This window comes from Homo sapiens, chromosome 11, assembly GCF_000001405.40.
Source record: "Homo sapiens chromosome 11, GRCh38.p14 Primary Assembly".
NCBI lineage: Eukaryota > Metazoa > Chordata > Mammalia > Primates > Hominidae > Homo > Homo sapiens.
This window is the reverse complement of record NC_000011.10, coordinates 127,046,253-127,061,997: the sequence shown is the minus strand read 5'-3', so window position 1 is coordinate 127,061,997 and position 15,745 is coordinate 127,046,253. Positions and strand designations below refer to the sequence as shown.

General features: G+C 44.9%; 2 annotated features.

The window, feature by feature from the left end:
* Window positions 5,803-7,002: an enhancer, noted in NCBI's record as "BRD4-independent group 4 enhancer chr11:126924891-126926090 (GRCh37/hg19 assembly coordinates)". NCBI's record gives its function as "activates an origin of replication core promoter dependent on BRD2, P300/CBP, MED14 and CDK7 cofactors, and independent of BRD4, by STARR-seq in HCT116 cells {active_cell/tissue: HCT116}" and the evidence as "EXISTENCE:reporter gene assay evidence [ECO:0000049][PMID:35650434]".
* Window positions 7,501-8,700: an enhancer, noted in NCBI's record as "BRD4-independent group 4 enhancer chr11:126923193-126924392 (GRCh37/hg19 assembly coordinates)". NCBI's record gives its function as "activates an origin of replication core promoter dependent on BRD2, P300/CBP, MED14 and CDK7 cofactors, and independent of BRD4, by STARR-seq in HCT116 cells {active_cell/tissue: HCT116}" and the evidence as "EXISTENCE:reporter gene assay evidence [ECO:0000049][PMID:35650434]".

Sequence of the window (15,745 nt, the reverse complement as noted above, 5' to 3'; positions counted from 1 at the left end):
CCCAGAGAGCAGCCACTTGCCCCAGACAGTGCCCAGTAATTGTAATGGTGCAGCTGGGAGTCATTATTGTCTGCCTGGAAAATGGGAGCACTTAGGAAGGGCCCCCCACCAGCCCAAGGAGGCAGGAGAGTCGAGGCTGCCAATGCAATTGTAGCATTTTAATTGAAGCCTGCAAGGAAGAATACAGGAGACTGGCCGCTTTCTCTTTGGCCTCGCAAAGAAAGGAGAAGGGGGAAGGAGAGTGGCACAAAGCCGCCTCTCCCTGGGCTGCGTTCAGGTTGCCATCTCAGAGAGGCTTGTAGCTCTGGAGAACTTTTAATAGAATTCTGCCGAATGAAATGGGCTACAGCTGTTTGCCTTGATAAATATATTTTATGCTACATGCCTCAGCCGCCATCTGTTTGCTGATATGAGCACTTCTTCGTGGCAACTAAGGAGAAGTCATCAAAAGGCATAACAGGAGACGGGTTTGGGAGCAGGTAGGGAGGGTGAGGAGAATGGGACAGGGGAATTGTCTTCAGGCCAGAAGGAGCCAGCCTGGGATAAAGAAGATGGGTGCAGGCTTAGAATAGGGAAGTGCACTGGGCAAGGCAGATAATCTACCTCCCATGCACTCTCCAGTGAGCTTTCGGCATACCCTCATTGTCTTCAGTCTTTCCTCCCTCCACCGCCTGCCTTTAGCCTCTAAAATTTAAACCAAGATGAAGAAAGGAAGTATAACAGTGCCACTTCCCAGCCAGCACTGGCCCATGGCAAGCATGCCCAGTGGCCCCTGGTAAGAGCAGCTGCTCGCCTAAGTCAGTCCCAGCCAACAAGGGGTCTCGGTTCCCTGCACCTAATTCCACTGTTCACTGAGCAACAGCTTCCAGCTCCTCTGCTCATGGCTGAATGCCCAACAAATATGGATGGGGCAGAAGCTAATGCCCCTGCCTGCAGGTAATGCAACCTAGTCAGGAGCCAAAGCAAATCAAGGAGAAGTTTTGGAGCTCTTCTGCCAAGCCTTGTAGCCACACAGCTACCCACCCCTGCGTGGACTGGAGAGATGGTTCGCATGTGCTTAGAATGGATTTGAGGTGGGAGGCGGGTGAGGGATGAAAAATTACCTATTGGGTAAAATGTACACTATTTGGGTGAGAGTTACACTAAAAGCCCATGCAATATATCCGTGCAAGGAGACTGCACTTGTAGCCATTAAATCTTTAAAAATAAAAAAATTAAAAATAAATGGGACAAGGTATAAGACAAATCACATCATATGCTTCTGTCTCCAAAGCTGCCTAATTTTTTAAAAGGCAAATTCTGGTTACTATGAACGTTAAGGGTATCCTGAAAGAAAAAACAAAAGGAACCACAGTGGCCCTTGAACAATATGGGAGTTAGGTGCATTGACTCCCTGCACAGTCAAAAATTCACTTATAACTTGACTTTCCTAACACTTCACTGCTAATAGGATACCATTGTCCGGAAGCCTTACTAATAACATAAGCACACAACTTTGGTCTCTAAAATTAAAACCAAGATGAAGAAAAGAGTTGTAACAGTGCTACCTCTCAGCCAGCACTGGCCCACAGCACTGGTATACACATATTTTGTATGTTATATGTGTTATATACTGCATTCTTACAATAAAGTCAGCTAGAGAAAATACAATGTGATTAAGAAAATTTTTTGAAGACAAGAATGGCTATGAAGGAGGAAAGATGTACCCATTATGGGGCTCTAAAATATTTTCATGAAGGACAGTAGATTTGCTCACTCTTGAACCATCAAATCAAGAAAACACAGGGACTACCTTAAGAGAAACCAGCATCCTTGGGGAACGGCTAAGATATTTAGATATTTCTGCTTTCTGAGCGCAGAGTCTACATGAACTTGCCTTCCCTCCCCTCGCTTAGGAAAAAATGCGAGAGGCCGGTGTGACTCACGGCTGTCCTGAGTGTTTCCTATTTCTGGCATCCCATGGCATCACCTACCCATCTCTGTCTCCCACATGCCAGCCCCTCTGCTGTTCCACTCAGAGAAGCTCAGCCTGCCCGGAAATGGAGTAAGTGTGTGTGGATCCCACATAGCACCACCCAGGAGCAAACTGAACCCCCAGTGTGTCTCCCTGTCCCCTGCTCCTTCCTCTGTCCCTAGCTGAGTCATGGGACTGGGGAAGCTACCACTCAGATTCCTCCTGTGAGCAGCACAGAGACAGAGTGTCCGTACAGCTGCATCCCATACCCTCCTTCCATACCCCATTGAGGCTATGAGCCTCTAAAATAGCTGGCTGTGGAGCAGGTTTTTGATGCTTGAGGTTAGAGAGGTTATTATTCCTGGCTGTGAAGAACAAATGGACAGCTCAGAGACATGCAAAGCAAAAGGAAAACTGGGTAGCTGAAGAGGGGGTACAAGCTTCCAAAAACACATTAGTCACAAACAAACTGGACCGCGCACCCGCTGCTCAGTGCCACCTCCTCCCGAGGACGTGGGCAGGGTGACTGCTGGTGACATGCTCTGAGAAGCTCTGACAGAAGGCACTAAATCATTGTGTACTGAGCTTTGTGATTTTGGGTCCAAGAAACCAAGTGCTTTGGATGAGCTTCAGAACTGCTGGCTGTTCACCGCAGCCAGAGCGAGCCTCCGGCTCCGTCGAAGCACCAGCCCCTGGTGTTAATAAGTGTTTCCATGGCACTTGATATTTTGCAATTATCTTTTCTAACACGTCTGCCTTAGCAGAAGTAGCAGGCCAAGTGTGCATTCTTCTGCCCTCCCTTCTTCCTGCCAGCTTTTGAGGAAGCCATCCTGGCTCCCCTGCACACCGTGAGAGGGGATGAGTAGGGGCCACCACTGGAAGGGGCCCCGAGTCTGCAGCCTCCTCCATCCCCACTCACTGCCTGGCTCCACACCCACCTCTTCTTCCACTCTTTCAAGGCCAGCTGAAGCCAAACTCCCTCAATTCATGCATCTATTTATTCATTCAGCAAATACGTGTCGAGCACTTACTATATGCCAGGCACTGCTTCAGGCATCAAAGATACAGCAGTGAAAAAAAAAAAAAATTCTCTGTCCTCATGTAACTCACATTCAATTAGGAGGTAGATCATAGGCAGTTAAATATTTAATGCTATGAGTAAAAATAAATCTGGGTAAGGGGTAGAGAGGGATAATATTGTAGATCTAGAAGTCAGAGGGCTTGAGATCTGAGCAGAAATCTGAATAAAATGAGGGAGCAAGATAGGCAGGAGACCAGGGCCCCTTTGCATAAAGACCCTGAGGTGGGAGCACAGCAGGTGTGGAGAAACAGCAAGGAGGCCAGCTGGGCTGGACTGGAGCCCTTGTGGGGAATGTGTTGTCATGGTAATAGATGTGGCCAAAGAGGGAGCAGGGACTCTGACCAGAAGGCTTTTCTTCTCTAGCGATGATTGGACGCCCTTCTTTGAAGTCCTGTATTAGCCCTGCCCCAAGTGGTTCATTTGGGCCTTGTCTGACACCTGCTTCATCATTTCATACACTTGTGCGTTCTTTACCCAAAGCAGTTGAAGTTTCCCCAGATTTCCTAACAGATCTTTTTCAAGCCCCATGGTCATCCCAACCCTTCCTCCTTTCTAACTTGCCAAGCTTCTTTCCATTGCCTCCTGGAATCCAGATGTTACGGACAAAGCACACCTCCTGAGTTCTATGGTTCCTTGAACCCACCCAAGTGCTTAGCAGCACTCATACTTGCAGCTTTCATTTTAATCAGACAGTAGTTCCACTGTTCAAATTAATCTTAAACAGCAATCTGTCTTTTGAGAAGGCATTTATGTATTCAGCAGTCATTAATTTATGCATTTAACTTTAAATATTTTTTAATTTACTTTGTGATTAAAAAAAGAAGCATCTGGAAACTATGCTAGATGCTGAGGATAAAGGGATGAGCAAGATAGCAGCAAGTCTAGTGGACAGATAAATGAGAATTAGAGAAGTAAATGCTAAACAAAAAAACAAATGAAGTGCCATGAGGCCACAGAGGACAAGGCGATTCGTATTTGATTATTTTTGGAGAAGACAAGGGAAGTTTTACAGTGGGGACTGACATTATAGGTAGGGATTCAAATATGTGTAGGCTCTTTCCCAAAGCCGCCCTCCTACTAAAGCAAAGTATCTCTCCTCTTAGTACTCCTTCCAGACAAGGGAGTGCAAGACATTAGAACAGGGGTCCTTAACAGGCAGTGATTGTGTCCCAAGGGACATTTGGCAATGTCTGGAGACATTTTTGGTTGTCATGACTGTGGGCAGGAGAGTGCTACTGGCTTCTAGTGGGTAGAGGCCAGAGATGTTGATAAACATCCTATAATGCACAGAACAGTTCCCCAACAATGACCTGGGCCCAAAGGTCAGCAGTAGTGCCAAGAATGAAAGACCCCATGTTAGAAGTAAAGGGAGCAACAGGAGCAGAGGCATCAGGTTGCAGAACTGGCCTGGCAAGTCAGAAGGGCATGGCAGGCCTAGGGAACAGCAGAAGTTCAGGTGTGAAGCAGAACTATAGAGTAAACGAACAACGTGGTAGGAGATGAGGCTGGAAATATAGGTACGAGCCAGAGAGAGAACGGTCTCATTCACCAAGCTGTGACGTTTTGCTCCATAGGCAATAAGGAGCCAACTAAAGAGAAAGCTGAAGTAGGTGAGAACAACAGCTGGCAATTATTGACCCGCAACTCTGGGTCAAGAGCTTCATTACATTACTTACTCCTAACAAGAGAGAGACACGCATAGGGCAGTTATTATTATTCCTACTTTACACATCAGGAAATAGAGAAACCAAAGCCCATAAAAGGGGAGTTGCCTGCCCAAGGTCAGCCTCGGGTTTGGTTACAACAAAGAACCCAGATTCTGGCCAAGATCTATCTAGCACCTGGGCCACTAGCCTTACTGGGCAGAATAGCCTCCACCAGTCTGGCCTCTGCTGGGGCTGTGAATCCACACTGGCTTTCATAGAGAGCCATCCCCTCATCCCCAGTGAACTGTAGCCACAGTGTTCTGTACACAGAGGTGCTGAACAAGACCCTTCTGAAGGAAGGGAACGCTGGATAACACATAAATCCATTTGGAATCAATGACATTCATTGATTCCATTCTTCTACCAATTGACATATTCTGGGCCTCAGAAAACATGTTTTAATTACCTCTAGAGAAAAATTGAGCATTTACTGGCCTTTTCTCTTTTTTTCTTTCCTTTTCTTTCTCTTTTTCTTTTTGTTTCTTTCCTTTTTTCCTTCTTTTCTTCCTTCATTCCTTCCTCTTTCTTTTTTCTTCCTTTATTTTCCTTTCCTTCTTCCTTTTTTTTAGGTGTGGTTGGCAAACTATGATGTATTCACCAAAATTAATTTCCTTTTCCTCCTGAGCACATACCCAAACTACACTTCCCAGCGCCCTCTGTGGCCATGTGACTGAATTCTAGCCAATGAAATCTCAGTGAATGCTGACTGTGCCTCCCCCGGGCATGGCCCATAAAACCACTCATGTACTAGTCCTGCTCACTTTCCCCAGCTGCTGCCACACAGAAGATGTGAAGGGCATATGGTTCAGTAGAGACACAGACAGAAGGACCACGTGTCCCTGGGTCCCAGAGAGGCTGCCGGCCAACCAGTTATGTATGCATTTGTCTCAACGTGAATAACAAACTTTTGTTGGGTTAAGCTACTAATATTTGGAAGTTGTTTGTTACAGCAGATAAATTTACTTTCCCTACCTAATACAGGCAGCATGGGCGAGAGATACAGCACTTAGAATGGAGTTCCTTGCATGCACAGAAAATTCAAACAAGTGGCTTCTTACACTGAGGTCCAGTCATAGGCAGATACAGCAGTCATCAGGTACCAGTGTCCTCCTAAACGTCTGCTTTAATACCTCTAGGATGTGATTCTGTCATCGAATTTGCCTCAAGATCCAAACAGATGTCCACATATTAGGCAGAAAGAAGGAGGAAGAGAAAAATCGTCCCCCAGCTGAGTCAGCTTCATTGAAGAGCTTGCCTGAAAGCCCCACCTGATGACTTCTACTTACCTCTGATGGATGGGCCAGGCCCACTTGCAAGGGAGGCAAACAAGGTGCATCATTTTCCTTGATATCTTGTTTCCCAGGGGGAAGAAGTCAACATTCAGTTAGGAAGAAAATGGAGACTGGATATTGGGTGGGAAACTAGGAGTCTTTGTTAAAAGGGAGGGAGGGAATAATGGTTTAGGCTGAGAAGATACTGCCCAGACTAGTGATGTCATTTTCCGCTCCCCTCTTAAGTGCTGGGCTGTTTCTGGCTTCAGCAGCCTATGGATGGGGAAAAGACGTGGATCTCTAAAATGGCTCTGCCCTGGAAGGAGGGGCTAGAGAGCTGAAGTGCCTGCCACCCCATCCTCTCTTGCTTGATTGCCTCTAAGACAGGATTCATCCCACTTATCTCTTGCACTCAGAACAAGCTCTCTGCACACTCACTCTCGCGTCTCTTTCCCAAAGCTGCCATCCTACTAAAGCAAAGCATCTCTCCTCTTAGTACTCCTTCCAGCACATCTCCCACAAAGGGGAAGCAGCCGGGAAGGCTCCTGGGAAGGAGCTGCGTTGGCGCTCCTGATCACTGGCTGCTTTCACTCCTTCACACTTAACACCATAAAAACACACATCTCCTGCCACGAGACTGAGCCAATTTCCAAGTCATATGTGGAGTTATTGCTGCTTTCTCTGCCTCTCCTGCTTGATGTTGCTAAATGCTGTTCCCTGTGGCACTCAGCACAGGCCTGCAGGGAGAAAATAACACAGAATTAACCCTGAACATAGGTGTGGGGGTGCAAGAAAACCAGATTTACCAAAATGAAAATAATAAAGGGCCAGTAATCACCCCCTTAATGTTAGCTCTTTGGGGTGCCACACGGGGGAAAAACTGTGCTGTATTTTCCATTTATAATCAAATGCACTCAATTAGTCCCTCTTCTTCCCACCTGCATGCCCAGGCAGTAATGGCAAAGAGGCAAGCTGAAGAAATGGAAATCAGCCTGCCCTGGCATCTGTCCCCCAGGTAAACAAGCATGGAAGGGGAAGGACCACCTAACTGAACAATGCACTGGTCATGAGCCAAGGCTGGCTCCAATAGCTTATGCCCTGGGCACTCGTATGCTGAGATTTCAGGCATAGACTTTACATAGTTTGGCATAATTCAAGATTTAACAGCAGGTAGAACTGCCTCTGTTTGTCTTCTCCTATTTCTATTTCATCGTGTCTGATTTCCTTTTATCCCTCTGCTATGAGAACCATCAAGGATACTTTGGTAATCTAGGGCAGCACTTCCAAATTTTTAATGTGCTTACACACCACTTGGAGATCTTGTTAAAATGAAATTCTGATTCAGTAGGTCTGAGGTGGGTCTGAGATTCTGAATTCTAACAAGCTCCCAGGTAATGCCAATGCTGCTAGTTCATGGAGCATACCTTCACCTTGATGTTCTCGGCAAATAAACTTGTATGGGGTTAAGCAAATGAGATTTGGAGATATGTTTGTTAGAACAGGATCTAGAAGGCAACCAGGACCTTGGATGGAAGACTTGTGCCTTTTAGAATTGCTGATTCCTGCACCTCAAAAGTTCATGTGTCTTAAGACTTGGAGGTATATTTAAAGCCAGAGCACTCTGACAAATGACTCAGCCATGCAACGTCAAGCTGTCTATGAGAATAGACTTGTTTCCAAGAAGCATCATTGATTTTACACAGGCTATAAACAGGTGATTCTTCACTGGATGGTAAAACTGTGGAGAGTTCTGCCTGCAAGTGGCATCCCAAGCAGAGGGGCCAAAAAACCTTATGCTTCATTCCTTCTTTGATATCATCAAATGGCTTTGTCAACAGCATCTCAAAGACTGATGACCCGCTAGGCACAGTGGCGCACACCTGTAATCCCAGCACTTTGGGTGGGTGGGGTGGGAGGATCTCTTGAAGTCAGGAGTTTGAAGCCAGCCTTGGCAACAAAGTAAGACCCTGTCTCTTGAAAAAAAGAAAAAAAAAATGAGGACCTTGGAGAAACTAAGGCAGAACACAATGTGCTCAACAAAGCACAAAAATCTGAAGGCCTTTTCCATGTAAGCTAGCCTCACAAGGATCACCTGGCAATGTTAGGAATAATAGAGTCCAGCCCAGTACTACCTTTCAAAGTGCCCACGACCACCTTACAAGCACACGTCAGCCGTCACGTGAAAGGGCCTCTTGAGTCTGGAGCTTCTTTAAGGACAATATCCAGAGCCACTCACTCCTCCCAGTTTTTTGCTCCTCACATAAACTTCTCCCCCTTCTTCTAGCCACTGCACTCACCCTTTTTCTCCCAGATCTTCCCAGTTGTTCTTTGGTTTGTCCTTGCTTCACTCTTGGGATATGACACACTCTACTGTCTTCCCAATGACAAAACCCTGTAACTTCAGCTTCTCTTGTCTCTATTTCAGTCTTTGGAGTAAGAATTACATCTTTCGGCCACCTCAGGGAAGACTCTTCCCACACCAGACTCTCTCCAGTTTATATCATCCGCTCCATCATTTCAGTTATCATCTGTGTGCTGAGATATCCCCAGTCTACATCTCCAGACCAAACTTGTCTTCAATGTTCCAGACTCAAATATCCACAGGCACATCAAATTCAACATGTTCTCAGCTGTACCGATCAGCAAGCCTGAAAGAACAAAAAGAAGAGAGGAAAGCAAGAAGGAAAGAAAGAACTCGCTTTTTCATCCCTCACCTTGTGAAATGACTCAGTGGCCCATGCAGCTGCTCTGCCAGACCCCTGGGAACCATTGGCGCTCGTCCCTCCCTCATCCTCTGCCAGGTCAACCCACTTTTAAGTCCTGTGACTTCCATCTTCTAAATTGCTGAGAATCTGCCATGTTTTTGACTACTTTGGGGTCTTCACACAATGCTTCCCCCATTACCCCTGCTTGGGTACTTTTCCTTCTCTTTTTAAACGGTTTACTATTAATCTGCAGGGCTATGTTCCAACTTTCCCTGACTCTGCTACAACACATTATTTATTATTATTATTATTATTATTATTATTATTATTATTATTATTACTACTGAGTGAGTAACATGAGAATGTGATAAATGAATGCTAAGTGAGTTGGAAAAAGCCATTAGGAAGTTAGACATTTTAACAGGAGATACATTGCCCTCGGCATTCATGTCATTTAAGCAACACTGCAGGGGACATGGATATTTTCCCCAGGAGTATGATTCCCAATTATTCCAAGAAAGAAGAACTGCCCCCATGACTCAGCACAGAAAGCAAACTCTGTCCACTGGTGATGCCTTTTTCTCTCCAGAGATCAGGTCCCTGTAGGTGAAAGTTTACCACACAAATTCCCCTCTGACTTATTTCTGGTCAGCAGGGAGCTAGGAGAGATGAGCGATTGTTTAGAAGAGGTTAATGAGCCCATGGGCTGGCTGTTTCAGACCATTGTTTCTCACCCTTTCTTTGTGCCTCTCATCCTTCTGCCTGGGAACACTTCTCATGTAAATCTTTCTAGTCCATGAAATGCAGCCCAGTTTTCCATGGTGCCTTATACTGTCTGCCTGAAAATGCTTTATAGAAGCTAATAAACAAGGCAGACAGGTTGCATGATGTTACGTGAACTAGATTCTCAAGACTTGATTCCCAAGTGCTGAGTCTAATACTTACTCATGACATGAAGGTGGGCGAGTTCCTTAATATCCTCAAGACTCAGTGCCTCCATTTATAAATCTGATCCCTGTCCATCACAGTTATGCTAATCATCAGAAGTAATATTGACATTTTATAAACTCTAAGCCATGCTGCAAAAATAAACGTTACTACTACTGATGATAATTGCAAATTATAAATAAGTTTTTGTGGGGAGCTGGTTACAAATTGTTCCAAAATTATTAAACATGATCAGAGAAAAAAAATGAAGCAGAGGGAAGATGACAATGAGTCATAAGAAGAAGAGAACAAAGATACCAACATGAGAGAGTTTGGTGGTGGGAAGGGGCTGGGGATGTCAGGAGGTGGGGGTAGAGAAGCAAGCAGCGTCAATTCATGCAGACCCTTGCAGACCATGTGAGGGAGTTTGGATGTTTTTCTAAAGATCATGGGAGAAATCAAAGTGTTTTAAGAAAAGGAGCATCTGGATAATTTTTCTTTTTTACTTAAGAAAGTCGCTTATGCTGGGCGAGGGTGGCTCACGCCTGTAATACCAGCACTTTGGGAGGCAGAGGCAGGTGGATCAGGAGGTCAGGAGTTCGAGACCAGCTTGACCAAAATGATGAAACCCCGTCTCTACTAAAAATACAAAAATTAGCCAGGTGTGGTGGCGCGTGCCTTTAATCCCAGCTACTTAGAGACAGAGGCAGGAGAATTGCTTGAACTGGGGAGGTGGAGGTTGCAGTGAGCTGAGATTGCGCCACTGCACTCCCTCCTGGGCAACAGAGTGAGACTCCGTCTCAAAAAAAAGAAAGTCATTTACACTGCAATATGAAGATTAGACCCGAGTGAGGTGAGACCAGAAGCAGAGAAACCAATGGAGGACTCTAGCAGTGACTCAAGTGAGAGATGGCAGTGGCTGGCTCTGGGAGAGTGGCACTGGGGGTGAAGAGAAGTGGATGGATTCTGCAACTAAATGGGCAGTAAACTTCAGACATCACAATCCCCTCTCAGAAATCTCAGCTCAGCAGCTACAAAGTACTCCCACTAGGAAGGCAGACTGGATTAGCAGGGAGACAAGACACCAAACTTGTAATTAGAAAATCCATATTTGATTCTTTGACTTGCAGTTGATTAATTAATTCTTATCATTAGCTAAGTGGATTAGGCAAGTCACTTAACCTCTCCAATCCTCAGTTTCCGCATCTGTAACATGGGCATAATAATAATTGCCCTGCCCCACTTGCTAAGGTGGTTGTAAAACTCAAACCAAATATAATGAATGAAGATGTGCTTTGTAAATTGCCACACACTGCATAATTGTAAAGCAGTCTGAGCATTCTTCAGAGACCCAGTCAAACCAAACACAAAAGGAATAGACACAAGAGGAAAATGAACATTCAGCTTCTAATCTGGGCCTCTTACCTGATACTTCCTTGGCCTATCTTGATTTTGTAATAGGCCGAGGTTTATTTCCATGGTTCCTTATATTTTATAAAGCCTTTCGTGGTGAGAAAACTTTGGGAAAATCTTATTAGATACAGCAAAGACCAAAATCAGCACAAAACTCACATATAAAAGCCTTAGCAAAAAAATAAGGACTTCTCTAGAGGCTCTATATGTGCTTAAATGGTGCAGAGAGCTAAATTGTGAAATTACAAATGAGATGTGGAATGGCATATTTGATTATACAGAGTCATCTTCAATGCCTCATAACATGTAAGAAATTTGAGAGACTGTTTATCCGGCACCGAACGCCAGAAGGAATCTGCAGAAGAACTGAGCGAGTTCTAATAGGGCATTGAGAAGACAGAGGGTAGGTTTCCAGAGGAGCTGCATGGGCTCTTCTTCATGCCTGAGGCCCTAATCCCACTTTCTCCACCATATTTCAAAGGCTCACATGGACATTATTTGGTTTGACTCACTGGAGAATAAACAGAAAGATTAGCTCTGTTTTTCACAGGTAATGAGACTGTGTCATAAAACAATTATAAGGCATGGTCTGTACTCTCAACAAATTTATGACCCAGTAGGGTCCAAAGATAGCCCTGTGATATAAAGAGCTGCCCTACTCAGCCCAGTGCTAATGTGGTGTTCTATACCTGGTGGGAGACAGGACAGCAGAGGCTTTGCAGCCTGGCCACCCTGGAATTAAATCCTGACTCTACTACTTACTGGCCTTGAGGACTTGGATTTCCTCAACTGTAAAGCAAGGATAGCAATGCTTGCCTTAAAATGCTGGTATAACTAAATGAAATACCATGATACATATAGGGTGCATAGCCTAGCGCACCCACACTGGCAGTGTTCAATAGCTATTAAGACACCACGTGTGTTATAGATGGCCCTTATGACTAAGGGTGTAGTGGAAAGCATCCAGTGACCCAGGGGCTGAAAAGAAGGGAGGACTTGGCCTCCTTTGATTCCTAGGTGGCACCTGAGTCCTAGCTACAGTATCCCAAGATTCAAATGTTATAGTAACAATGTTGACAACTGAAGAATTCTGCATTTCTCCAAGTAGAAGCCAAGACAACCAGACAAAAGCAGTTGCCCTCCCCCCAACACCCAACTTCTGTTGGAGCATCCAGAGCCTATCTTCTGTCCCCACTTCTAACCTTCACTTTTCTGTCTCTGCCTCTGGCCATGGGACCTCAGAGGAACCGGAGCTGCTGTGCCAGGTCCATCTGCAGCAGACCAGCCCCTGGAGCTGCTGACGCTGCAGCAGCACCCAGCAGGCAGGTGTGTGAGAGGCACACACAGAAGAGAACAGATTGAGAAGTGCTTTGGGATGTCTCTGGCACAGATGCAAAGGCAGAAGGGGAACTTTTCTCTGTGCTCTCTCTTTCCACCCCTCCTAGCAATTCAAGGAGAAGGGTGAGAGATTGGAGATTGGAGCTGTTCGTCTGAATCCAGCAATGTCCTGTGTCTCCTCTTCAAATCCACACAAATGATAATGTGACCCTGGAGGTCGACATCCATGCATGTTTATTAAAGCCCATGTGTAAAGGTCCATGCCACTCCCAACCACATAAATTTATATTTTGACTATAGAGGGAATATATTAACTCAGCACAGAAGACAAAATAAACAATAAATCTATGTGTGTGGCCAGGCACCGTGGCTCACACCTGTAATCTCAGCACTTTAGGAGGCCAAGGCAGGAGGATAGCCTGAGCTCAGGAGTTTGAGACCACCCTGAGCAACATGGTAAAACCCTGTCTCTACTAAAATAAAAAAATTAGCCAGGCATTGTGGTGTGTGCCTGTAGTCCCAGCTACTCGGGAGGCTGAGGCATGAGAATTGCTTGAGCCCGAAGACAGAGGTTTCAGTGAGCCAAGATGGAGCCACTGCACTCCAGCTTGGGCTACAGAGTGAGACTCCATCTCAAAAAAATAAAAAAAATCTGTGTGTGTGTGTGTCTGTGTGTGTGCACAAGCTCATGCATATGTTGAGATAGAAGGGATGGGGAGATAGGACACTTACATATTTTAATTTTATTTTACTTCTTAATCAGTTCTAAATGAATAAGGATGGGACTTACAGATAATGAAGAAACAGGACAAAGACATAAAGAGAAATATTTCTTCTACTGGGCTCTCTTGCTTTTCTTCATGCCATAACCACTTTCCAAGAAGAGTCCACAACAGCATTACAGCATTTCCTAAAATTTGTTGCATTTTATAATTCTTGTACACACACACAGATGCACACAAAATTTAAATGCCATTTCTCAGTCTGAGGAGTTTTCAGACTCTGCCTAATGTCTCAGCTAACTCAATCAATAGGAATATGCTAAACACCTACCATGTGCAGCATACTGTACGAGATATCCCAGAAGACACAACACAAGAAGGCACAAGATTTTCCCTGTGCTTATAATCAGTCACGAAGCCCCACTGATTTGCTCTGCTAAATATGTCCCTAATCTGCCAATCCCTCCCTGTGCCCTTATCATCTTTTTTGCAGACCTCCTACCAATCAGCTCAGATGCCACATCCTCAATCCCCATGGTCCTGACTCAGTCCTCTGCTTTGCTTAATATTCCTGTTTGCATCCTCAGAGACCTTAGGATTATGTTTTCTGTAGCACTTACCATATGGTATTAAAATCATGTGTTTTCAGATCTGCTGCTCACCCTACACTGATTGTAACATCTTAAAGGTCTTTTTACCCCTTTAGCACATAGCACAGTATCTACCGCTCTCAGTATCTGCTCCAGTAACGACTGCTCACCGGTGCTCAGCCTCCATCCAACACGTTCTGCCATGTGTTGTATCTGCTCATGTATCCAACAACCTCCCTAACATGTATGGTCTCCTCAAGGATAGGACCCAATTCATCTTGGAATCTCCCGTGCCCAGGTGCCAACAGGCTGCAAGACTTCTCTGCAGATTTATTTGAGGCCTGGGCCCCATTGGGCCATGAGGCCCCAGGCAACTCTTGTTATATCATGCTGAGATGTGGGGAAAGGGATGAGCTGAAAGGGAAGGAATTCCAGTTTAGATGCTGGATAATGACATAATTTATGGATGAACTAATGTCAGTTCATTGTATTTTACCCAAGTTTTTGTTTTGAAAATTTTTAAACCTGCGGAAAGTTGAAAATATAGTGAAAACTCATCTTTCGTTCCCTTTGATTGCTAACGTTTTGATCTGTTTGTGTTCTCTCTTTCTCTCTGTGTTTGTGTATTTATCTCCCTCAGTTGAATATTTTTGCTAAACCATTTGAAAATTAGTTACAGATATCTTAAATTTTCTAAGAACTAGTTATGAACAAATGAAAGAATGAATGAAGCCATGCATGAATCCATAAATTTCTGAACTCCTTTCGAGTTCTCTATGGCTCTTTCTAACTCTAGGAGTTGCCATGTACCACAAGAGCACACTGAAAATAAGCACCCACATTTCACAGGGTAGGGGATGGAGGAGATAATTTTCAGCTAGAACAGTTGGGAAAGGTTTCAGCTAGGCCTGGATGGGGAAGATTTGAATATACTTATGAAAAGGGGAGAACATTCCAGGACAAAGGGAGTGCAGCAACAAGGTACAGTGGGCAGGAGAAGCAAGCCCTCCAGGCACCACGCTTACTCACTATCTGATTTGTGTGGAAAATGAAGAAATGAGGTTGGCTTTTTTACCCTTCTCATTTCTCTTCATCCACTTCAGAATTCTCAGAGCTAGCATGTTATTCAATTCTTTCAACACATGCGATTCTTCATTAACATAAAGTTTCTGTGGTAAGGTGGGAGGGTCATAGGGTGACCCATGGTCCCAGTTTGGCCAGAACTAAGGGTTTTCTGGGACTCAAGACTTTCAATGCTAAAACCAGGCAAGTCCCAGGCAAATGAGGATGAGATGATCACCCTAGCCCAACTGCAGAGATGGAAAAAAAATGAAAGAAGCCTGATAAAACTTTTAAAACCACTTTTCACCCCTCTCCTACTGTGGGCCCTAGTTCCTGATCTGTTTTTAACTTTGGGAACAAAAGGAAATAGTTTTAAAAGTGAAAGAAAATATTCTTTCTCTCCAAGAAGTTTTCTCTCATGCCTTCCCCTCCTAATTTAGGTTAGGTGCACTACCTCGGTGCTACAATATGAAAATTGCTACCATGCATTTACCAATTATTGTGTGGCAATAATCTGTAGTCTGTGTTCCCCAGATACACAATCCACTCTTTTTTTTTTTTTTTTTTTGAGATGGAGTTTCACTCTTGTTGCCCAGGCTGGAATGCAGTGGCGCGATCTCGGCTCACTGCAACCTCCGCCTCCCAAGTTCAAGGGATTCTCCTGCCTCAGCCTCCGGAGTAGATGTGATTACAGGCATGCGCCACCATGTCCTGCTAATTTTGTATTTTTGGTAGAGACGGGGTTTCTCCATGTTTGTCAGGCTGGTCTCAAACTCCCGACCTCAGGTGACCCGCCCGCCCTGGCCTCCCAAAGTGCTGGGATTAGAGGCGTGAGCCACCACGCCTGGCCAATCCATTCTTTAGTAGAATGGACTGTGTCTTATCTTTGCAGCTCCGATATACAGTACAAAGCAAGCAACCCAGCACATATGTGTTGAATGAGTAGATGCATTTATTGGTTGGTTTATTGTCTGGT